The sequence below is a fragment of the Homo sapiens genome, chromosome 2 (assembly GCF_000001405.40).
Source record: "Homo sapiens chromosome 2, GRCh38.p14 Primary Assembly".
Taxonomy (NCBI): Eukaryota; Metazoa; Chordata; class Mammalia; order Primates; family Hominidae; genus Homo; species Homo sapiens.
In genome coordinates, this window is record NC_000002.12 from 206,058,624 (window position 1) to 206,084,400 (window position 25,777).

The 25,777-nt window shown below is 41.2% G+C and overlaps 1 protein-coding gene across 8 annotated transcripts in view, besides 2 other annotated features; it reads right to left on the reverse strand.

Moving 5' to 3' along the window:
* INO80D (INO80 complex subunit D) overlaps positions 1–25,777 on the reverse strand; it is a 92,454-nt gene that overhangs the window by 64,903 nt on the left and 1,774 nt on the right. For 3 of the 8 annotated variants that reach the window (XM_011511375.3, XM_011511369.4, XM_011511376.2), the window contains exons 2-3: positions 4,528–4,621; positions 4,176–4,331 (exon numbers count right to left, since the gene is read on the reverse strand). Coding sequence is in view for 4 of the 8 variants with exons in the window: in XM_011511369.4 (XP_011509671.1) it covers positions 4,176–4,331; positions 4,528–4,621 (250 nt within the window). In the remaining 4 variants the exon portion in view is untranslated. Of the gene's footprint in view, positions 1–4,175; positions 4,423–4,527; positions 4,622–4,945; positions 9,537–25,777 lie in introns of those variants that run through there. The other 5 variants (NM_017759.5, XM_011511371.3, XM_011511370.3 and 2 more) reach the window with 3 other exon arrangements.
* Positions 23,362–24,151: an enhancer, noted in NCBI's record as "H3K27ac-H3K4me1 hESC enhancer chr2:206946709-206947498 (GRCh37/hg19 assembly coordinates)". NCBI's record gives its function as "activates a minimal SCP1, AML or CMV promoter by ChIP-STARR-seq in naive and primed H9 embryonic stem cells {active_cell/tissue: H9 hESC(naive and primed)}" and the evidence as "EXISTENCE:reporter gene assay evidence [ECO:0000049][PMID:30033119]".
* Positions 24,848–25,669: an enhancer, noted in NCBI's record as "OCT4-NANOG-H3K27ac hESC enhancer chr2:206948195-206949016 (GRCh37/hg19 assembly coordinates)". NCBI's record gives its function as "activates a minimal SCP1, AML or CMV promoter by ChIP-STARR-seq in primed H9 embryonic stem cells {active_cell/tissue: H9 hESC(primed)}" and the evidence as "EXISTENCE:reporter gene assay evidence [ECO:0000049][PMID:30033119]".

Consider the following 25,777-nt stretch of genomic DNA (forward strand, 5'->3'; position numbering starts at 1 on the left):
ACTCAGGAGGCTGAGGTACAAGAATCGCTTGAACCCGGGGGCAGAGGTTGCAGTGAGCTGAGACTGCACCACTGCATTCCAGCCTGAGAGACAGAGCAAGACTCGTCTCAAAAAACAAACAACAAAAAAAAACAGTACTCCATGCTTAAATAAATTTGGAAAATGCTGGCTTAAACAAAATTAAAGAATGATTTTGTTGTTTTTTGTTACTGATGTGCAACTACTCAAAGCACTTTGTGTAACATGCATTATGAAGTTCCAAGAGGAAACTGTACCCATCTGGCAGTGTTTCCCAAAGTTATTTGAAAATGAAACCCAGGGCCAAATGTGGTGGCTCATGTCTGTAATCCCAGCACTTTGGGAGGCTGAGGCAGGAGGATCCCTTGAGGCCAGGAGTTCAAGATCGACCTGAGCAACATAGCAAGACCCTGTCTCAGTTAAAAAAAAAAAAAAAAAAATCAAAGAAAACAGAACCAGCCGGGCAAAGTGGCTCATGCTTGTAATCCCAGCACTTTGGGAGGCCAAGGTGGGTGGATCACCTGAGGTCAGTAGTTTGAGACCAGCCTGGCCAACGTGGTGAAACCCTGTCTCTACTAAAAATACAAAAATTAGCCGGGTGTGGTGGTGTGCGCCTGTAATTCCAGCTACTTGGGAAGCTGAGGCAGCAAAATCCCTTGAACCCATGAGGTAGAGGCTGCAGTGAGCCGAGACTGTGCCACTGCACTCCAGCCTGGGCAACAGAGTGAGACTCAGCCTCAAAAAACAAAAAAAACAAAAAAGAACAGAGAACCTATTTTTACTGTAGCATATAGGTGATAGCTCCAAAAAACATAGTTTGGGAAAAGACCACTGAGGTAAAAAATGTCAATCCTCAAATTCACTGGGCTTCATCATATAAGTGTTTTTCTAGTAATTGCTAAAAATACAGATTCACCAAATAATCAGAAAATCTCAAGCACACACAGAATATGTGTGGGTGTGTTTTGTTGCTTCGTCTTAGAAATAAATCTATCAGAGGCACTCTTTAACGTAGGCCTCTTAAGAAAAAGCTTTCTTTGTCATGTGCAGTCACTGAAAAAGCGAAAAAGGTTTCTAGCCAGCAAAGAGAATCTACACCGTGTGTGTGTGTGTCTGTGTGTCTGTGTGCTTCCCTAGCAGGTTTGAGCTAGGTCCCATATATATCTTAAACAGAACAGATTCACAAAGCAATGGCCAGCAAAGAAAGAGGCGTCTGGGATAACTGCACTAACCAAAAAGTTTCCCAAGAACAAGAAAAAATTTTAATAAAGAATAAATTTGGCCTGGCGTGGTGGCTCATGTCTATAATCCCAACACTTTGGGAGGCCAAGGCAGGGCGATTGCTTGAAGCCTGGAGTTCGAAACAAGCCTGGGCAACCTAGTAAGGATCCATCTCCACAAAAAGTTTTCAAAACTCGGCCAGCCACGTGGCTTGTGCCTGTAGTCCTAGTTACTCGGGAGACTGAGGCAAGAGGATCATTTGAGGCCCAAAGTTCAAGGCTGTAGTGAGCTACGATCATGCCACTGCACTCCAGCCTGGGCAGCAGAATGAGACCCCATCTCAAAGAAAAAAAAGAAAAGAAAGACAAATTTATAACTTAGTACTTATGGCCGGGCGCAGTGGAGCATGCCTGTAATCCCAGCACTTTGGGAGGCAGAGGTAGGAGGATCACTTCAGGTCAGGAGTTCGAGACCAGCCTGGCCAACATGGTGAAACCCCATCTCTACTAAAAATACAAAAATTAGCCGAGCGTGGTAGTGTGCACCTGTAATCCCAGCTACTGGGGAGGCTGGTGCAGGAGAATTGCTTGAATCAGGAGGCAGAGGTTGCAGTGAGCCAAGATCATGCCACTGTACTTCAGCCTAGGCAACAGTTGAGCGAGACTCCGTCAAAAAAAAAAAACAACAACAACAACTTAGTGCTTTTTTTTTTTTTGAGACGGAGTTTCGCTCTTGTTGCCCAGGCTGGAGTGCAATGGCGCGATCTCCGCTCACTGCAACCTCCGCCTCCTGGGTTCAAGCAATTCTCCTGCCTCAGTCTCCCGAGCAGCTGGGATTACAGGCATGTGCCACCACACCCGGCTAATTTTGTATTTTTAGTAGAGACGGGGTTTCTCCATGTTGGTCAGGGTGGTCTCAAACTCTCAACCTCAGGTGATCCACCCACCTCGGCCTCCCAAAGTGCTGGGATTACAGGCGTGAGCCACCGTGCCCGGCAACTTAGTACTTATTAAGCACAGCTTCTCGAGATAGAAACATGAAAGTCCTTTCCCTTATCTTGTTCTCAAAAGAGCAAACTATTTCAAAGACAAAGGTGTATACAGATGCTTCAGAGAATATTTTGAAGAGATTCATAAGGACTCTCACTTGAATTCTTGCCTTTTTTTTTAGATAGGGGGTCTTGTTCAGTTGCCCAAGCTGGAGTATAGTGGCACAATTACTGTTCACTGCAGCCTCGGCCTCCTGGGCTAAATCAATCCTTCCACCTCAGTCCCAATTAGCTGGGACTCTAGGCGTGTACCACTACACCTGGCTAATTTTTGTATTTTTTGTAGAGATGGGGTTTTGTCATGTTGCTCAGGCTGGTCTTGAACTCCTAGGCTCAAGCGATCCACCGCCTTAGCCTCCAAAAGTGCTGGGATTACAGGCGTGAGCCATCACACCCAGTCCTTGCTGCTATTAAGATAATTCTTGCTTTGGCTCAACTGAAAAAAAATCCAACACTGACAACTGTAACCATGATAAGCTAATTTTAAGACAAAATTTTAGAAATGTGTTTACGATGGGGCTTGATGTAAAAAAAAATTAATCCAAGCTCATCCATTCTTCAAGTTAAAAAAAGGCAGGGTAAGAAATTATCATTTTCAGTCTGCTAAAAACTAACTAGACAGATATATTTAGCCTAATACATACATCCCTTTCTCACCTGAGATTAAAATTTTATTCCTTGCCTCACTAAGCAGCTGTTTCTAACTTTCAGGTATTGTAATTTGAAGCCTCAATGCTCATTAGAAATTCTAAGAGAGTATTCCTAAATCCCCATTAAACTATTTGTACTCATTTTGGTGAGATCAGCACCAACACAAATTATTTATTTCATACTGCAAGTGTAAAAAGTATTCATGACACAAAATATCTGATTCCTTTCCAACCAATTTATGCAAGTGACATTTGCTAATGTATAGAAACATGGATGAAGGTTGTGTGTGTGTTTTAAGATAGAAGTGAAAGGTTCAAATTTTCTACCTAGAGATAACAAGTATCTTGAAACTTTTGGAAAACAAGCATGTATCTCTCCATGAAGCCCCACAGTGATCTATATAGTTTCTGGAGAATTGAAGAAAAAGAAGCACAGAGAAGAGATTATATATGAAAGATAGTGTGAATTTTCCTAACAATATGAAAGATGAATAACCAGTATAAGACTCCTTTAAAAACAATTCCACTCTTTTCTAAATTTAGCGAAGCATAAACTCATCATTCTAGTGGCAAAACCGACCCTTAATGTGAAAATAGTGTTTCCAAATTATGGCAAACATACTCTATTTGGAACACTTTTTAACCAAAAAAGGTAAGGTTATAAAACATGCCAAACACTGGTGAGAAGTCTGATAGGAAATAAATCTAACTGATTCAAGTAGTTTTTTAAAATTTTCTTCAGTAAGTATATATCCTTTACTAACTTCTAGGCATAGATTTTAAACTCCAAAATTGCTATCATTAATTATAACACCTAATTAGTTATTTAAATTTCTCTCATTTAGGCAAATGAGAAAACTAGGTAGAAAAGTCAGGAATTACTTTATAAGGCCATAAACCAAACAAATCCGTTTCAAGACTTCAAGCAGCAACTTTGAGGGAAAAAAAATCTTTTAAAAATTCTAGAAGTCCATGAAATCAATTAAATAGAAGACACTCAAACATACTTTAAGTAATTCCCCAAATTTATTACTCTATTTTAAAAAATTGCCATATTTCATCTTTAAAAGTATTCCATAGATTACTTAGATTACCCCCAGAATTCAACATTTATATAGGTGGAGGAAGGGAGGGAGGGAGAAATGAAGGACAGAAGAAAAGAGAAGAAAAAACAAGAAAAGAAAAAATTCCAAGCCTGTTAATGAAATCAAGGATTGATTCTCATGATTAGCCCTTACCTACGATCCTCTGATTTGGGGATGGGGTTGGTGCAGCGTTGGCTGTTATACTTGGCCACATATTCACATTGCTTGAAGGGGGCAGTCTTGTCCTCCAGAACGTGTCTGATACAGAAGGCGTAGCCGTTGAGTCGCCTCTGCTTGCACAGTTTGGGGCTATATGAGCACAAGGGCTTATTGTCAACCTCAGAGAAGTGTATATGTTTCCCTTCATACATCACGTGACTCTATTCCTTGTGAACATCAGCTAAAAGGCCACCACAAAAAAAGAAACCCAAATGATAAATCAGAGAGTATAAGGCAGATTTAAGTTGAGAATTTCACTGAGGGACTTCTGGCCCCACAGCCATACCTGATTTTAAATCTTCTGCACCATAGCAATGTTAAGAGAACCCCCAAGGATACCACAGTTTGGAATGCCGCAGAATCAGGATGAAGCAGATTGTCTATAAAAATATCAAAAGGCCTAGTTAACAAACAGAAATAAGCAAAGCTAGCTCACCCAGGAAGCAAAATACTAAGATATCACCCTTACTAATGCAATGGATTCTTCACTGTAAATCAACATCCCAATAACGAGGTTAAATAAGAAAATAAGAGACATTATAAAACATTAAGTTGGCTGGGCGCCGTGGCTCACGCCTGTAATCCCAGCACCTTGGAGGCGGGTGGATTACTTGAGGTCAGGAGTTTGAGACCAGCCTGGCCAAAATGGCGAAACCCCGTCTCTATTAAAAATACAAAACTGAGCCAGGCATGGTGGCGGGCACCTGTAATCCCAGCCACTTGGGAGGCTGAGGCAGGAGAATCACTTGAACCCGGAAGACAGAGGTTGCAGTGAGCCGAGATCACACCTCTGGACTCCAGCCTGGGTGAGAGTGAAGATCTGTCTCAAAAACAAAACAAAAAAAAAGTAAGTTACCTTATCCCCCCAAATTGAACTAAATAACATTTGCTCTGGTTAAGTTCTATAAATACCTCAAAGCAGCAAAACTCTTCCACCAAATGAATGTCACAGGTAGCAGGTCTCTTTTTCATTACTGATGTTTGCATGCTATACTCATTTTCAGAACCCACATCCCTTTACAATGCCAGCAGAATAAATGGTAGACCTAAAACTTCTCTCAGAAATTCTACTTCTTTTGATATGATGGTAAAATATTTGGCAATTTATAAATTTTTCTATGAAATACAAAATAAATTTTGTATTTAAATTTCTGTCATTAAAAAATGTTCTTTCCCTTATAATATTTCCCCACACCTATCCCATCCAATCACAATAAACTTCTCAGGCCCAAAGACTAGTCAGCTGACCACACTTATATCATTCATTTCAAAGTTCTGCACCACATGGTGCTTCCAGTCACACTAAATAGTAAAATAATCGTGGCTTATGAGTCTTTTCAGAGTCAGTGAGAAAATGGAAGGAGGGAATTACACAATACTCACTACCAATCTACACGCAAAAGGCCCAGTGGTAGGATTTATATATTACAACACCATCTAGTCTATCATGAAACTGAATCTATTTTGCCAAGTCAGGATCTTAGTGAGCTGATGGAGTCTCACCCATCCTCTTCCACACTTCCAGCCATCAAGATGGCTGATGGAACAGCTCAGATATCAGCTACTGAAAAAGTCCAGAAATACTCTCTGTTTTACCAGTAAATGACAAGATACATAAATGCTGGAGGTGTCAGAAGACACGGTTGTTCAAGTCCAAAATCTGCCACTTGCTGTGTTACCTTGAACAAATCATTTAACCTATTTGAATGTCAGTTTTCTCATCTGTAAAACAGGGATAATAATAGTAGCTATGTTATCAGGATACTGGAATGATCAAATGATACAAAGCATCCAACATACTAAGTATCATCCCTAGTATATGGTAAATACTAGAGAAACAAATTACTATTCACAAGTGTTCATTCTTGTAATACAAGACTACATTCCACCTGCCAGTAATGAAAGTAGAGAATTTGTAGTCTTCTCAAGACATACTTCACTTACTGTAGTAGGAAAAAAAAAAACTCAAAATATTAACTTAGTTAATAAAAATCATATTTTCTCTTCTGGAGGGAAAAAAAATCACATTCATTACTAAGTAAATTAATCACACATTAATGTAAAAAATAAGAGCTTTCTCTTTTCACCTTATGAGAATGTAAGAAAAAAAAGTTGGACTAGAAATTTAAATTTAGGTGCTAAGAAACTGGATATCCACATGCAGAAGAATGAAACTAGACCCCCACCTTTCACCCCATACGAAAATCAACTTAAAATGGATCAAAGACCTAATTGTAAGACTTGAAACTATAAAACTATTAGAAGAAAACACAGGGGACACTGATGTGGGGAAAGGGTTTATGAGTTAAGATCTGAAAAGTACAGGGTGGGCACGGTGGCTCATGCCTGTAATCCCAGCACTTTGGGAGGCCGAGGCAGGCGGATCATGAGGTCAGGAGCTCGAGACCAGCCTGACTAACAAGGTGAAACCCTGTCTCTACTAAAAAATACAAAAATCAGCTAGGCATGGTCATGCATGCCTGTAATCCCAGCTACTGGGGAGGCTGAGGCAGGAGAATCACTTGAACCTGGGGGCAGAGGTTGCAGTGAGCCGAGATCACGCCACTGCACTCCAGTCTGGGCAACAGAGTGAGACTCTGTCTCAAAAAAAGAAAAGAAAGAGAGAAAAAAAGATCTGAAAAGTACAGACAATAAGGTAAAAATAAACAAATGGGATTATATTAAACTAAAAAGCTTCTGCACAGCAAAGGAACAACCAACAGCACAAAAAGACAACCTACGGAATGGGAGAAAATATTTGCAAACTATTGAACCAACAAGGGATTAACATCCAGTATATATATAAGAAACAAACATCTCAAAAGAAAAAAATACAACCAATTCAATTTTTAAATGGGCAAATGATTTGAACAGACATTTCTCAAAAGAAGGCATACAAATGGCTAACAAATATTTGGAAAAAATGCTGAACATCACTAATCGTCAGGGAAATACAAATCAAAATTGGGGTAAGGTATCCTCTTACCCCACTTAGGATGGCTATTATCAAACAGACAAAAAATAACAAATGCTGGTGAGGAAGCAGCAAAAAGGGAACTCTTGTACGCTGTTTGGGAATGTGAACCAGTATAGCCACTATAAAGAACAGCATGGGCCGGGCGCAGTGGCTCACGCCTGTAATCCCAGCACTTTGGGAGGCCAGGGCAGGTGGATCACTTGAGGTCAGGAGTTCAGGACCAGCCTGGTCAACATGGCAAAATCCTGTTTCTCCTAAAAATACAAAAATTAGCTGGGCTTGTTGGCATGCGCCTGTAGTCTCAGCTACTCAAGGCTGAGGCAGGAGGATCGCCTGAACCCAGGAGGTCAAGGCTGCAGTGAGCTGAGATCGCAACACTGCACTCCAGCCTGTGATGGAGCGAGACGATGTCTCAAAAAAAAAATAAACAAATAAAATAACAGTATGAAGGTTCCTCAAAGAGCTACAAATAGAACTACCCACTACTAGGCATTTTTCCAAAGAAAAGGAAATAATACATCAAAGAGATATCTGCACTCCCATGTTTATCAAAGCACTATTGATGATACCCAAGATATGGAATCAAACTAGGTGTCCCACAACAGATGAATGGATAAAGAAAATGTGGTATATATACACAATGGAATACTATTCAGCCATTAAAAAGAATGAAATTCTTGGGCACCAGGCGTGGTGGCTCACACCTGTAATCCTAGCACTTTGGGAGGCCAAGGTAGGCAGATTACCTGAGGTCAGGAGTTCAAGACCAACACGGCCAACATGGCAAAACCCTTCTCTACAAAAAATACAAAAATTAGTTCAGTGTGGTGGCACACACCTGTAATCCCAGCTACTCGGGAGGCTGAGGCAGGAGAATCACTTGAAGCCAGGAGGCAGTGGTTGCAGTGAGCCGAGATCGCACTACTGCACTCCAGCCTGGGTGACAGAGCAAGACTCCATCACAAAAAAAAAAAAAAGAAAAAGAAATTCTCTTATTCACAGCAATATGGATAGAACTAGAAGACATTATCTTAAGTGAAATAAATAAGGTATGGAAAATTAAACATACATGTTTTCACTCATGTAGTCACATAAAAAAGTTGATCTCATAGAAGCTAAAAGTAGGCTGGGCGCAGTGGTTCATGCCTATAATCCCAGCACTTTGGGAGGCCAAGGCAGGTGGAACATTTGAGCTTAGGAATTCGAGACCAGCCTGGCCAACATGGTGAAATCCTGTCTCTACTAAAAATACAAAAGTAGCCGGGCATGGTGGTGGGGGCCTGTAATCCCAGCTACTTGGGAGGCTAAGGCAGGAGAATCGCTTCAACCCAGGAGGCGGAGGTTGCAGTGAGCCAAGATCGCACCACTGCACTCCAGCCCGGGCAACAGAGTGCAACCGTCTCCAAAAAAAAAAAAAGAAGTAAAAAGTAGAACAGAGGCTAGAGGCTACAAGACAAAGACTGGGAAAGGTAGGGGAAAGAAGAGAATATGGAGAGATTTGTTAAAGGATACAAAATTATGGCTAGATGGGAGGAATAAGCCCTAGTGTTCTATAGCACTGTAGGATGGCTATAGTTAACAATAATTATTATACAGTTTTGAATAGCTAGAAGGAGGATATTGAATGTTTCCAATACACAAAAAAATGATGCTTGAGATGATGGCTGTTCTAATTACCCTGCTGATTACTATACATTATATGAATCAAAACATCACTATATACCCCACAAATATGTACAATTATTTTGTGTCCATTAAAATTTTTTAATTTGAAAATTATAAAACATAAACATTTAAATTTAGCTGCCCTGGATGTTTGGGACAGGAAATATTTCAAAGCAAATCCATGCCATTTTTCATTTTTCACCATCTTTTCTCTACTCACCCACAAGCCAAACACACACGTATCTTTCACAAATTAGTTCAAAGAAACCTATACGAACATCAAGAAAAAAGAGCAATCTACATGTCTGTAGGTATGAGAGCATTTTACAAATCATAGAAAGAAATCTGAGGGCAGGGATGGAAGGATGTGAAGTTGCAGTGTGCCGAGATCGTGCCACTGCACTCCAGCCTGGGCAACAGAGGGAAACCCTGTTTCAAAAAAAAAATGCAACTCAACTGAGCATTTTGTGATGAATTCAACCTTGTCTTACACAAATATTTGAACTATTGCTTTTTTGGTTTGAATTTATCAATTGAGTCTTTGCCCGTACTTCTGTTCCCAACTTTTGAGGCACTGTGTTGTGTTTTATTTTTATTTATTTTTTATTTTGAGGACAGGGTCTCACTTTGTTGCCAGGCTGGATTGCAGTGGCATGATCATAGCTCACTGCAACCTCAAACTTCTGGGCTCAAAAGATCTTCCTGCCTCAGCCTCCCAAGTAGCTAGGACTACAAGTATGTGCCACCATATCTGGCTAATTTTTTAAATTTTTTGTAGAGACTGGGTCTTGCTGTGCTGCCCAGGCTGGTCTCAAACTCCTGCATTCAAGAGATCCTCCCGCTTTGGCCTTCCAAAGTGCTGGGATTACAGGCATGAGCCACTGTGCCTGGCCACACTACATTTTAGATCTCAGGTCAGCAAACTAAACTATTTCTTACAGGACAAATGTGGCCCACTGTCTGTTTTTGTAAATAAAGTTTTATTGGAACACAGCCATGCTCATTCATTTACATACTGTCCATGCCTACTTTTGTGCTATAATGGTAAAATTTAATAGCTGCAACAGATACTATATGGCCACAAAAATAAAACTATTTACTAACATGTTATTTGTTGATCCCTTTTAGATGCAACTCTTGTTGGGTTTGACTTTTTGCTCCAATCTGAATCATTTTACTTTTGAGCAATTTTTTTTTCTTTTCTTTTTTTTGAGACAGTGTCTCACTCTGTCACCTAGGTTGGAGTGTAGTGGCACAATCACCACTCACTGCACCCTCAACCTCCAGGGCTCAAGCAATCCTCCCACCTCAGCCTCCTGAGTAGCTGCGACTAAAGGCACATACCACTACACAGTGCTAATTTTCTGTATTTTTTGTAGAGACGAGGTTTCACCATGTTGCCTAGGCTGGTCTTGAACTTCCGGTCTCAAGTGATCTCCCTGCCTGGGCCTCCCAAAGTGCTGGGATTACAGGCCTGAGTCACCCTGCCTGGTCCAAGTCATTTTCTTTTAATAAATGAGTTTATCCAATTTATAATTTTGTATTTATGACATATTTCATCTTAATCCTATTATATTTTGTATTGCCTTTAGCCTTTAATTTAATCTTTTCATTATACATTTCACTATATTCAGTACAAAGGTTTGAACTGTGTAGCTCTACTTATACATGGATTTTTTTTCCTCCTCTGCTACCCTGACAGTAAGACCAACCCCTTCTCTTTTTCCTCCATCTATTCAATGTGAAGACTTTTATGATGATCTGCTTCCACTTAATACTAAATATATTTTCCTTATGGTTTTCTTAATAACATTTTCTTTTCTATAGCTTACTGTATTGTAAAAATATAATATATAATACATATACAAAATATGTGTTAATCTGTTCACGTTTTCAGCAAGGCTTCTAGTTAACAGTAGGCTAGTTAACTTTCTTGGGTAGTCAAAAGTTCTAATATGGCCAAGTGTGGTGGCTCATGCCTGTAATCCTAGCACTCTGGGAGGCCAAGGCGAGTGGATCACCTGAGGTCAGGAGTTCTAATGCAGATTCTCAAAAAAAAGTTCTAATGCAGATTCTCAACATGTGGGGTTGGTACCTATACTTTCAAGTTGTTCAAGGGTCAACTGTAGTCTGTTTTCTTAGAAAAACTGTAGTCTGTCTCCTTTAGATAACATTTCTTTACTCCACACTAAGAAAATTAGTATACTTATCAGCATTATTGCAACTGATCCCATGTTATAAACGAGAAAAATTTCCAGACTTACAACTACCTACCCATCCCTAACTCTCAAGGCTTTTTCCTGTTGTTGTTCTTAGTTCTACATTTAAATTTATTCAATGCAAAATGATGCTTTTTTTTAACTTAGTCTTCCATTCACTTCTTGATTCAATAGTTTACAACACAGTCTCCTCTCCTTTCTTTCCCCGAAAAGAGCAGATTTGTGGAAACTATAAGCCACGATTTTTCTATTTGAAAACATACGTTGGCCAGGTATGATGGTGCACGCCTGTAATCCCAGCACTTTGGGAGGCTGAGGCGTGTAGGCTGCTTTGAGCTCAGAAGTTCGAAGCCAGCCTGGGCAACAGAGCGAAACCCTATCTCTACAAAGAATACAAAAATTAGGCCAGGTGCAGTGGCTCACGCCTGTAATCCCAGCACTTTGGGAGGCCGAGGTGAGGTGGGCGGATCACTTGAGGTCAGGAGTTCGAGACCAGCCTGGCCAACATGTTGAAACACCATTTCTACTAAAAACAAAACAACACAAAAATTAGCTGGGTGTGGTGGCATGTGCCTGTAGTCCTGGTTACTTGAGAGGCTGAGGTGAAGGGATTGCTTGAGCCTGAGAGGTCGAGGCTACAGTGTGCCAAAACTGCACCACACCGCACTCCAGCCTGGGCAACAGAATGAGACTCTGTCTCAAAAAAAGAAAAGAGCCAGGCGCGGTGGCTCATGCCTGTAATCCTAGCACTTTGGGAGGCCGAGGTGGGCGGATCATGAGGTCAGGAGATAGAGACCATCCTGACTAACACGGTGAAACCCTGTCTCTACTTAAAATACAAAAAATTAGCCGGGCATGGTGGCATGTGCCTATAGTCCCAGCTACTCAGGAGACTGAGGCAGGAGAATCGCTTGAACCCAGGAGGCAGAGGTTGCAGTTAGGCAAGATCACGCCACTGCACTCCAGGCAACAGAGCAAGACTCCGTCTCAAAAAAAAAGAAAAAAGAAAGAAAAGAAAACATGTCAATTGGTGTTATACTTAAACAACAGCTTGTCTGGAAATAAAATTCTTGGGTTGTGCTTTTTTTTATCTACTGACTTTGTATATATTGTTTCATGCTGAAAAAGCCTGAAGCCAGTCTCTTGATTTTATAGGGGACTTGATTTTTTTTTTTTTTTTTTTGCATGTTGACCTAACAATAAAAGTCTATTTAAAGACTAGAAACTGTTCTAAAATTTTAAATCCTTTTCTTTTCTTTTTCACTCTTGTTGCCCAGGCTGGAGTGCAATGGCACGATCTCAGCTCACTGCAACCTCCACCTCCTGGGTTCAAGCGAATTCTCCTGTCTCAGCCTCCTGAGTAGCGGGGATTACAGGTGCATGCCACCATGCTCAGGTAATTTTAGTATTTTTAGTAGAGATGGGGTTTCATCATATTGGTCAGGCTGGTCTCGAACTTGTGACCTCAGGTGATCCGCCTGCCTCAGCCTCCCAAAGTGCTGGGATTACAGGCATAAGCACCACGCCCGGCCTTTTTTTTTTTTTTTTTTTTTTTTTTTTTTTTTTTTTTTTTTTTTTTTTTTTTTTTTTTTTTAAGAGATGAGGTTGCACTATAATGCCCAAGCTGGATTGAACTCCTGGGCTCAAGCAATCCTCCACCATAGCTGGGACTACAGGTGCATGTCACCACACCTGCCTTCAAATCTTTTATTGTGGGAAACTCTTCCTTAATGTATTGACATTTCTTTCTGCTTGATTTATTCTCCGACAGCTTCAGGGGTATCAATTATTGGCATACTAGATTGACTGTATTCCCTATCTGTCACTCTCTCTCTAGTCTTTCTTCATTTTTATTTGTTCCATTTTGGGTTGCTCAAATTTCTCAAGCTTGCTTCCATTACCCCCAGCTATAGTTGATATTTGCACTTTGAATGTTTCTGCAATGTTACTTTTCTCTTATTTTGTACCCTGATTCCATCAGCTCACTCTTACAATACTTCTGTTGTCTTCTTTTATTTCTCGAGCTTTTATATCTCATCTTTAAACTCTAGTTTCAGAGGAGGTATGTCTCACCCCCACCTTCCACCATAGGAACTATTTTTTCACTTTCCCTTGAGGCTTGACTCCATGCTGGACTATGTTCCCTAACTCACAGGAGCCCACATGGCATAGATTTGGGGGTGGGGTGATAATTTAGGCTTTACTTCTCTTCACATGACCAAGATCAGGAGCTGAAAGGCTGCTTGCTGCCAGTTTCTCCTCCACTCTGAACTTCCTACAAAACTGGTAGGACTGCACAGTTTGCAACTCAGCCCCACCTCTCCTGCCACTCAGGGAGCCCAACATACATATATCCAACTTTGCCATCCATGCATGGGGATTACTGGTTTTGTCCTCGGGGTGTGTCACTTTCTTGAGAGAAAGCTTCTTCCTTTGCTTTGCCTGGTTCTACAGAGGAAATCATCCTCTCTTGGCATCCTCTCTTGCCCTGGTTCAATTTTCACTGCACTTAATAGCACTAATTTATATATTTTGGGTTTTTTGGGAGGGTTTTGTTTGGTTTTTTTTTGAGACAGAGTCTCGCTCTGTCACCCAGGCTGGAGTGAAGTGGTACAATCTCAGCTCAGTGCAACCTCTGCCCCTTGGATCAAGCCATTTTCCTGCCTCAGCCTCCTGAGTAGCTGGGATTATAGGCGCCCGCCACCACGCCCAGCCAATTTTTTTGTATTTTTAGTAGAGACGGGGTTTCAGCATGTTGGCGAGGCTGGTCTCGAATTCCTGTCCTCAGGTGATCCATCCACTTCAGCCTCCCAAAGTGCTAGGATTACAGGCATGAGCCACCGCGCCTGCCGTAATTCATATATTTTGATTACAAGGTTACAGTAATTGTCAAAGTTGCAGTTTAGTTTCTGTTTCTAATTCTCCCTATTTTTAAAGTTGGTTTGGAGAAGGAAGAATAGAGATCTCAGTACTTGCTATCATTAACCACAAATATCTTTTTAAATTTTGAATAAACTATTCCACAATAATATCAAAACCATAAAGCATACTTATTATAGAATTTTTTTACAACAAATGCATTACTTTTGTAATAATTTTATAAAAATCTAACTTTCTTCTCTTTTTTTTTTTTTTAAGAGACAGTCTTGCTCTCTTGTCAAGGCTAGAGTGTACAGTGGCACAATCATAGCAGCCTCAAGCTCCTGGGCTCAATTGATCCTTTTACCTTAGCCTCCCAAGTAGCTGGGACTACAGGCATTAATCACTGTGCCCAACTAATTTTTTAATTTATTGTAGAGATGGAGTCTCACTACATTGCCCAGGCTGGTCTTGAACTCCTAGCCTCAAGTGATCCTCCTGCTTCACCTCCCAAAGTGCTGGGATTACAGGCGTGAGCCACCACAACCAGCCTGAATTTCTTCTAATTGAGTATTATTGTAGTATCAAAATCACTGTTCTGTAAACTGGAAACAGATCAATATCTGGTCTTCTCTACATTAATAAACTTCTCCTTTTTAAATAAAGAAGAAGTTATGACAAACGCACTGAGGCAGTTCTCAGAAAAAATCCTACATATTTTTCACTCTTTACCCCTAGCCTTCCACAGCTGGCGTTTTTTACCCTGATTTTACTAAAGGTGAAGTTCACATCACTTTCACTCTTTGGCATTGAGTGCAAGATATAAATAAGAATGGAAATATACAATATATAAAGCCCACATAATCTTAATCAAATGTCTTTTAGACCCTGATATATAAATACTATCGCATTTTCTTTCTTCCTTTCTTTCCTTTCCCTCTTTTTTCTGAGACAGGGTCTTGCTCTGTGGCCAGGCTGGAGTGCAGTGGTATGATTACGACTTACTGAAGCCTTGACCTCCCCAGCTCAAGTGATCCTTCCACCTCAACCTCCCAAGGAGCTGGGGCCACAAGCACATGCCACCACGCCCAGCTAATTTTTCATATTTTTAGTAGATATGGGGTTTCACCGTGTTGCCCAGGCTGGTCTCGAACCTCTAGGCTCAAGCCATCCACCAGCATCAGCCTCCCAAAGTGCTGGGATTACAGGCCTAAGCCACCATGCTCAGCCTATCACATTTCCTAATCCATGCAAACAAAAGGCTAAAACTAAGCACTATCTTTTTTTGTTTTTGTTTTTGTTTTTAGAAAAGGGGGGTGTCTCACTATGTTGCCCAGCTGGTCTCAAACTCCTAGTCTCAGTGAGCCTCCTGCCTCAGCCTACCAAACTGCTGGGATTACAGGCGTGAACCACCATGCCCAGCCAAACTCTACTTTTTAATACATGATGAATATCACTTTAAAAAGAAAAAAAAACCTTAGCCAAACTAAATTTATTAACAGTTCTAGCAAATACCATCTTCAGCTGTGGAGACAACTTGCTTAGCATATAAACAGACCTATGCTCCCTTAAAGGAGAGAATGCAGGTAATTAAAGCACTTTAGAGCAGCAGCAGAATATACACTGTTATTACCAAAAAATGGAAATAACCATTACTGAGAACAGAAAATACTCAAGTCTCACTTGCTGTAGAAAAAATATTTCAACAGCAAACATAACCATATACTAGAATTCAAGAGTAGGAAATAGCCGGGCACGGAGGGTCACGCCTGTAATCCCAGCACTTTGGGAGGCCAAGACAGGCGGATCACCTGAGGTCAGGAGTTCAAGACCAACCTGGCCAACATGTTGAAACCCCGTCTCTACAAACACACAAAAATTAGCCGGGCATGATTGCGGGTGCCTGTAATCCTAGCTACTCAGGAGGCTGAGGCAGGAGAAACTGCTTGAACCCGGGAGGCGGAGGTTGCAGTGAGCCGAGATCACACCGTTACACTCCAACCTGTCTAAAAACAAAAACAAAAAACAGTAGGAAATATGATTAGGTTTAGGTTTTTAAAAAATCCTCATTGGGGCTGGGCATGGCGGCTCACGCCTGTAATTGCAGCACTCTGGGAGGCTGAGGTGGGAGGATCAACTGAGGTTAGGAGTTCAAGACCAGCCTGACCAACATGGAGAAACCCAGTCTCTACTAAAAATACAAAATTAGCCAGGTGTGGTGGCACATGCCTGTAATCCCAGCTACTCAGGAGGCTGAGGCAGGAGAATCGCTTAAACCCAGGAGGCAGAGGTTGCTGTGAGCCGAGATCGCTCCATTGCACTCCAGCCTGGACGACAAGAGCGAAACTCCATCTCGAGGCAGGAGAATCGCTTAAACCCAGGAGGCAGAGGTTGCTGTGAGCTGAGATCGCTCCACTGCACTCCAGCCTGGATGACAAGAGCGAAACTCCATCTCAAAAAAAAAAAAAAAATTCCTCTTTGATATTATACACCAAGTTTAATAGGAAAATTGAACAATTCATTTCCATTGTTTCTTACTTCTTACAAATACAGAGGAATAAGACATTAGCAAGGAGAAAAGTAAGGAAGATACACTTTTAACAAAAGCAGCCAGCAGCCCTTTCAGTCTTCCAATGATAACCACAAAACAATTTGACAAAAATATGAACATTATTCTCTTTGGGACTACCACTTGATCACCTCCATGTGGAATCTCTATGTCACTGCTGTTCTTTTGATTCTCCTGTTTCAGAAACATGTTCATTTCACTGCCACACCATTTTTCTCTAATTGCCATCTGTAATTTTATATCCTACCACTTTTAAAGAGCCTAGATCTACAACATACCTTATAATTTTTTTTTTTTTTTAAAGACAGAATCTCATTCTGTTGCCCAGGCTGGAGTGCAGTGGCACGATGTTGGCTCACTGCAACCTCTGCTGCCCATTTTCAAGTGATTCTCCTGCCTCAGCTTCCCAAGTGGCTGGATTTACAGGCAAGCACCACCATGCCCCGCTAATTTTTGTATTTTTAGTAGACACGAGGGTTTCACCATGTTGGCCAGGCTGGTCTCAAACTCCTGACATCAAGTGATCCGCCCACCTCGGCCTCCCAAAGTGCTGGGATTACAGGAATGAGCCACCGTGCCCAGTTCATACCTTATAATTTTTTTAAAACTAGCGTGAGATGCCAGGTGCAGTGGCTCATGCCTGTAATCTCAGCACTTTGGGAGGCTGAGGCAGGCGGATCACTTGAGGTCAGGAGTTCGAGACCAGCCCGGCCAATATGGTGAAACCCAGTCTCTACAAAATACAAATATTAGCTGGGCTTGGTGGTGCACACCTGTAATCCCAGGTACTCTGGAGGCTGAGACAGGAAAACTGCTTGTACCCGGGAGGTGGAGGTTGCAGTAAGCCAAGATAGCACCACTGCACTCCAGCCTGGGCAATAGAGTGAGACTCCCTCTCAAAAAAAAAAAAAAAAACCTAGTGTGAGGCTGGGCACAGTGGCTCATACCGTAATACCAGAAGGTTGGGAGGCCACGGCAGAAGGATTACTTGAGCCCAGGAGTTCAACACCAGGCTGGGCAATGTAATGAAACCCTCGACAAAAAATAAAATAAATAAAACTAACATGAGCCTACTAAATTATCAGAATGTTTGTTTTCCAATATACTTAATGCAAATGAAAAGAATATTTACTTATCCCAGAAAGAGTGGATACTGTTAAAATCATATTTAGAGTATCATAAAGTCTTAAAAACGTTTTTCCATGTTATGTACTTTTTAAATGAGTTTTAATTCAACTTGATGAAGCATAAGAATGTAATAAGACACTAAACAGATGACTATATTGATTTTAAGAACCAAACATCTATATTACCTATGTAAAAAATAGTAAAATCAGACTGAGGAATGATGAAAATCTATCAACTGATGTGACTGGAAGAGAAAGAAGCAGTGAGAAAACTGCTTATCACTCGAAAATATAAACAACATTCATTATAATCAAGTTTGAACCAGAATATTTTAAAATAATGCTTATTGAATGTCTAGTATGTGCCATATACTGTACTCAGACAGCACTGTACAAGTAAGTTTGCATTAGGAATTTCAATGAACTTTACACTAGTTCCTTCCCTGCTATATTAGAAAGGTAAGGATAGTTTATGCAGCAGAAAGATCACTCACTGGCTCTGGTAGGTATCAGAGAGGGGGATCAAATCTGGTTTTGCTAATTACTAAGTATAAGACCTTGGGCAAGTTATTTAGGCTTCAGTCTTCTCATCTGTAAAGGGAAGATTGTAATTGTATGTATCTCATTGAGTTGCCTAGGATAATTAAATTAGGTATTTCATGAACTGTAACCCCAGCATATAGTAATCACTTAATATTAACTACCATTAGAAGCCGGGCGCGGTGGCTCACGCCTGTAATCCCAGCACTTTGGGAGGCCAAGGCGGGTGGATCACGAGGTCAGGAGATCGAGACCATCCTGGCTAACATGGTGAAACCCCATCTCTACTAAAAATACAAAAAAAAAATTAGCTGGGCATGGTGGTGGGCGCCTGTAGTCCCAGCTACTCAGGAGGCTGAGGGAGGAGAATGGTGTGAACCCGGGAGTCGGGCGCCTGCAGTCCCAGCTACTCGGGAGGCTGAGGCAGGAAAATGGTGTGAACCCGAAAGGCGGAGCTTGCAGTGAGCCAAGATCGCGCCACTGCACTCCAGCCTGGGCGACACAGCGAGACTCTGTCTCAAAAAAAAAAAAACAAACTACCATTAGAAGCAGTAAGTAGTGGTTTATTTGTATTATCATTTTGATCTAGAATCTGTAGGACTAAAATACATTCTCCAGCTGTTAGTGGTTTTCTGAATAGTTTCCTATAATCATTAAAAATCTAATATCCAAAATATTTCCTACATTCTATAGAGCACTTAAATACTAATGTTCTTGTGATGGAAAACACTAGCAGAATGAGCACTGTTTGACTGATCTGGGTACAGTATTTATTAGTTCCAGTTAATAATCCTTCACAACAAATGCTTTCTAAGTTCCGATCCATGTCACAGTCATTCTCTGTTGTTACAGAAACCCTGCATTACAGGACAAGAGGAAAGAAGAAAAACTAAGTTGTAGCTCTACTCCTCAAAGTTCTTTTGTGCTAAAAATCTGAAACTAATGGCCTCTTTGTTACTGAATTCCACATACACTTTTCCGCCTTCAGCTAACTGGACCTCTCTGCAGCATCTGACACTGCTGACCACTTTCTCTTTCTTGAAAATCTCTCCTTTCTGACCAGTCAGTGAGTTCTTTTCTCTTGACCCCCTTGCTTCCATGCCAATATACTCCAAGGTTCGTTTAATCTTACTTTACAGGGGTGCAAGATGAAATGCCTACATGGGCTGGAAGAGTAGGCCAGGGGCATTCTTTGGCATACTTTGCTCAAATCATTTCCAGCAAGTTGTTGCAATGTTTACAAAAAAAAAAAAAAAAAAAAAAAAAAAGGTTGACCCAGAACTTCCAGCTCTTCCATGTTATTAAAAGAAGATAGGGCCAAGCACAGTGGCTCAGGCCTGTAATCCCAGCACTTTGGGAGACCGAGGCAGGTGCATCACCTGAGGTCAGGAGTTCAAGACCAGCCTGGCCAACATGGCGAAACCCTGTCTCTACTAAAAATACAAAAATTAGCCGGCGTGGTGGCACGCGCCTGTAGTCCCAGCTACTCAGGAGGCTGAGGCAGAAGAATCGCTTGAACCGGGGTGGTGGAGATTGCAGTGAGCTGAGATCGTGCCACTGCACTCCAGCCTGGCAACACAGCGAGACTCCATCTCAAAAAAATAAATAAAAGAAGATAAAAATCCAAATTTCCCCACAAAATACCTTAATTGTTTTCATGTCAGCAGCTCCTTTAAACTTTTGAACATATGAAGGCCGGGGGTGGTGACTCACACCTGTAATTCCAACACTATGGCAGGCTGAGGCAGAAGGATCACTTGAGCCCCTTTGTTTGAGCCCAGCCTGGGGCAACATAGTAAGACCCTGTCTCCATTTAAACAAAAACAACAAAAAAAGAAAAAGACAGCCAGGCGCGGTGGCTCACGCCTGTAATCCCAGCACTTTGGGAGGCCAAGGCAGGTGGATCACGAGATCAGGAGTTCAAGACTAGCCTGGCCAAGATGGTGAAACCCCGTCTCTACTAAAAACACAAAAATTACTGGGTGTGGTGGTGGGCGCCTGTAATCCCAGCTACTCGGGAGGCTGGGGCAGAGAATTGCTTGAACCTGGGAGGCAGAGATTGCAGTGAGCCAATCGCACCACTGCACTCTAGGCTGGGCAACAGAGTGAGACTTTGTCTCAAAAAAGAAAAGAAAAAGACATGTAACCCTAAGTTATTTTATAAATCTGTTTCCTCATGTATGAAAAGGTACTGAAGAAAAATCAGAAACCATCACAAAAAGTGTGGGTCAAACAAAACATTTCTATAGGCTTTATCTTTTTTTTTTTCTGAGTTAAGTTCTCCCTTTGCCACCCAGGCTGAAGTGCAGTGGTGTGATCAAGATTCACTGCAACCTTGACCTCCTGAGTTCAAGCGATCCTCTCACCTCAGCCTCCTGAGTAGCTGGGACTACAAAAATGCACTACCACACCTGGCTAATTTTTGTATTTTTTGTAGAGACAGGGTTTCACCACTTTGCCCAGGCTGGTCTCAAACTCCTGAGCTCAAGTGATCCGCCCACCTTGGCCTCCCAGAGTGCTGGGACTACAGTTGTGAGCCATGGTACCAAGCCTACCCCAGGTTTCAAACCAAATGTATACAACTGCATATGTGGATTTTTCTGGAGAAGTGTCCAAGACTAAGAACCACTGACTAGCCCAAATTTGTCTACTTCTACCATTTCAGCAGCCGTCTGTGAGGATGAGTCCCACATTTACATCCAGTCCACCTATGAGATCGCCTTACCTCCTTAACATGCCTCTGCCACTGCTACCTCCTCTCAATTGCCATTGCCACCACCTTAGTTCAAACCCTCTTCAAATCTCTTGTCAGGAGCTGCCTCACTGGTCTAATTACAGTCTTGTCCTCCTTTTTCCTACTCTGTATAACTCAAATCCTCTAAATCTCAAGTAATTTATGTGGCCAAAGACTTTCAGGGTCTGCTTGTCACGTAAAAGAAATCCAAACTCCTTCCCCTAACACAGAAACTCCTTAGGACCTGGCCAGACTGACCTTTCCCTCTCACTATTTATTCCCCTCCTCCTCCAACTCCTGGGAGGTAACAGAACCACAATTTGCAACACAGGATACTCTTTTGTCCCTAAACTTTGATTCCTACTTACAGGTCACACCTTATGGAATGCCGAACTCCTCCCATTCGCTTAGGACAGAAACTTCCCCTGCAAAGCCCTCACTTTAAAACCTAGCCTGCCCTTTAGGCCAGAATAGAAGAATATTCCTCCAGGCTAAGCTATTACTTAACATTCACATTGGCATTGTAAATGTCAGCTTATTTTTCTTCTCCAATAGACTAAAAACTCCTCAAGGGCAGAGAACGTGTCTCTATTGCAAAGCTCAGAGCTACAACAGAGAAGCTAATCTGTTAAATGAATGAACCAGCAGCTGCTCCTACCAATCAAGTCAGGTAAACATGCCCAGGACTCTAAAGTGAGCCTATCAATTCTACAAACTGCTCAGTGCCTTCAAAACCATGCAACACTACCGTCCACGGGGACTCACAAAAACACTTCAAAACCTGAAAGAGCGGAACGAGGAGTAAAGCAAACCCACCCTGTGCTCCTTTGCCCTCGGTGTACTTACTATACCTTTATATTGGCCAATTCCAAATTCAAACAGCAGAGACTATGCTAACATGAAGCTGCTGAAATGGAATATACTGCACAATTTTTTACTGGCAAAAATATATTTATTTGCCCCATTAAAGTAATTATAATATTCTCTCTGTACTCAAATACTTATTAGTATTATTAATATATACTGAGGCAAGAACTCATTAAAAATTCACATCAAGAATATTAAAAATCTGGCCGGGCGCGGTGGCTCACGCCTGTTATCCCAGCACTTTGGGAGGCCAAGGCGGGCGGATCACGAGGTCAGGAGACCGAGACCATCCTGGCTAACACGGTGAAACCCCGTCTCTACTAAAAATAGAAAAAATTAGCCGGGTGTGCGGGCGCCTGTAGTCCCAGCTACTTGGGAGGCTGAGGCAGGAGAATGGCGTGAACCCGGGAGGTGAAGCTTGCAGTGAGCTGAGATCGTGCCACTGCACTCCAGCCTGGGCGACAGAGTGAGACTCAGTCTCAAAAAAAAAAAAAAAAAAAAAAAAAGAATATTAAAAATCTTTAGAAAAAAATAGAAAAGTTATGCACCAGAAAAAGTTATGCACCAAGAAAATATAAAGGTTATGCTTCAGGAACCATTCTAAAGGCTTTATGTTCAATTCCTCATTTAGTCTTCACAGCAACCCTATGAAGTAGGTACTATTATTACCCCCTTTTACAGACGAAGAAAACTGAGACTTAATCAGATTAAGTAATTGTCATTATCCAAGGTCACACAGTCAGGATGCAAGGCCTATTTGCTCCAGAGCCCAAGCTTTTAACCAATACAAAACGACACAACTACCATTACATGGACAATCCTACCCTTACGTTTTTCCTCTTTGTTTCTGCTGTATGCATACACATAAAGAGAAAAAGCACACGAAAGTGTTAAACAGTGGTTATCCTTTGAGTGGGAAAAACAGGTCTACTCTCCAAATATAGCATAAGCCTACTATAGTATGTATAGTACAGTATTACTTTCAGTTATTTAAAAAAGGAAACAAGAGAAATAGTATTTAGATGTTACTACTAGAAAAGTAAGGTGGAGGCCAGGCCTGGTGGCTCACACCTATAATCCCAGCACTTGGAAAGACTGAGGCAGGCGGATCCCTTGCATCCAGGAGTTTGAGACCAGCCTGGGCAACATGGGGAAACCCTGTCTCTACAAAAAATACAAAAATTAGCCAGGCATGGTGGCAAGCACCTGTAGTCCTGGCTGACTACAGGCACACCTGAGGTGGGAGGATCACTGGAGCCCAGGAGGTTGAGGCTGCAGTGAGCTGTAATCATGCCACTGTACTCCAGGCTCGACAACAGAGTGAGACCCTGTCTCAAAAAAAAAAAAAAAGAAAGAAAGAAAGAAAGAAAGAAAAGTAAAGTGGGCTAGTGGAATTAACATTTAATTAATACTATTATGGGCCAAACACATGGCTATCTCATCTAACCCTTATATCAAAGAATTTTATTCCCATTTTAAGTTAAAGAAACCAAAGACTAAATAACTTGCCCAGCGGAAGGACTGGGATCAGAACTCAAAGCCCAGTCTAAAGGTGTCACTGCAGGAAGTCATGCTACAAATAAAATTTCACCAAAAACTCATCTTTTATTTTTTTTGAGATAGAGTTTTGCTCTGGTTGCCCAGGCTGGAATGCAATGGTGCAATCCTGGCTCACTGCAACCTCCGCCTCCCAGGTTCAAGTGATTCTCCTGCCTCAGCCTCCAGAGTAGCTGGGATTACAGGCATACACCACCACGCCTGGCTAATTTTGTATTTTTAGTAGCGACGGGGTTTCTCCATGTTGGTCAGGCTGGTCTCGAACTCCGGACCTCAGGTGATCCGCCCGCCTCAGCCTCCCAAAGTGCTGGGATTACAGGCGTGAGCCACCACGCCCGGCCTAAAAACTCATCTTAAAAACAAATCACATTCTGTGAAAGGATGAGAACCAAGTAGTCTGTCACCTTACGTGCAAGGAGGGAAAAGAGGGAGGCTTAAGGTTTTAAATTGAGTATTTCCTCAGTATCTCAAACTAGCCAGGAGCATTGTCAAAAATCAGCCTTTACAGTCAGGACTTCTGGGACAAACTCTTGCTTGAAGAAGTGAGGAGACTCTATTGCTGTTTGTTTTGCCTAGCACAGAGCTGCATGTGTAAGTTAAACTGACTTAGCACTGGGGACAATTTGCTGCCTCCAACCCAGTCTCACCTATTCAACCATTGTTTTACCAGTTACCAGGTGTGGGGGAGGGGGAAAGAAAAGTGTCTGAGAATATTGCTCTAACTGTATTCAAATATAAATGACTTTTCATTAGCCATAACCATTGTACCAAACCTGGATAGTGAGAGCTGCTAACCCTCAGAGAACATCTCAGGTATGAATAAATAGTTTAGCATTTTTTTGAAATGTCATTAATTTTGGGTGCTCTCAGAAATGTTTAATTCCTTCTAAACTAAAATTTTTATTTCTCTAAAAATAGTAGCAACATGATTTGCTGAGAAAAAGTTGGAATGGGATATACAAATTTCCTCCTAAAAATCTTCCAGAGGAAAGAAAACTTGATTATTTCAGACTTGTAATTATACTAACCATTTACTTTTTAAACTAACACTTAATAATAAAAAAGCATATTCCCTTAGTAGTTTAAAGTTAATTCAGTATTTGCCCTGAAAATCTTTTATTAATTTCAAATGGAATGTAACTTTTAAAAACATCAAACCTGTCATTCCTTCAGGAAATAAAGTAGCCCATTAGGCGATCAGGTTAGGAAATTAATACATGTTTGAGGTAGGGTGGGAAAAAGTACAAAACTTTTTTGGTATTTGTACACATAGTTTTGGAAAGCTTAGGAATGTGAAGTCAACAATATACCTTTAAAATATCAAATTATAAGGCAATAACAATTTTTTTCAAACCTTAAAATGTTCCAAGAAAAATGACTAAGAATGATTTTTTTCCATCCAGTATATGCTCTAAAAATAAGGACAAACTATAATAGAAGTAACGATTTTTGGTACACATGTTTAAAAAAATGTCCATGTCAATAAACAATTTCAATTAATCAATAAACTTAAAACAACCATTAAATGTAATTTGCATTTTTGTATCAGATCCATACAATCTCAAATATCAAGATTTTCTTAAGCTCAATGCTAAATGACCGGATATCTATCATTGTGGAGAAACAGAGTTTGATCTTAGGCAGACGAAAGGAAAAGAAAGGCACACACCTAGAAGAATCACATGAGTCTCATTTCGAAGCCTCACGGAAGTCAGCACTGAAAGTCGTGGGTGACCCATTGCCCTGCAAGTGGTAGCTTTTCACTAACAACAGTGCTGGGGGTACTGAGTGGGCAGAATGTGGGACATCTCCTGCCAGCAACTCCAGCCTGCTACCAAGCAGGACACCGCACATAAACACAACACTCTGCCCTAAGCTCACCAAAAAAAAAAAAAAAAAGGAAAAAACCAACAATTAAACGATGCAAAATAACCTCTCCAAACACGCCCACACTGGGGACTGGCAGTGGGGGGTGGCAGGGTCTATTAACATTTCAATGTCAACACTCAAGAACAACAAGGAGGTAAGCATAGCCACGGGAAACATCCTGTCCCTGAAAAGCAGAAAATCGAGATTTGGAAATTTATGTTTATCACTTTTTTTTTTTTTAACGTTCAGAGCTCAGGGCACCAAAATATAGCTAAAATTGAATCCATTTAAACAGAAAACATACGTGTGTGTGTATGAATATATATGTGTTTATATATGCATATAAAATATATACATACACATATATTTTTTTTTCGTTTAAATGTTATACATACACACACACACACACACACACACACACACACACCCCAAAACCAAAGTAGTTTTGCTAGGTTCCGAGGGCTCTTCCACAGACCCTTCTGAGTTGTAGCAATAACAAGTTTAGGTTTCCTTAAAATCTCCATTACTCTATTTCTAGGTCGAATACAAGAAT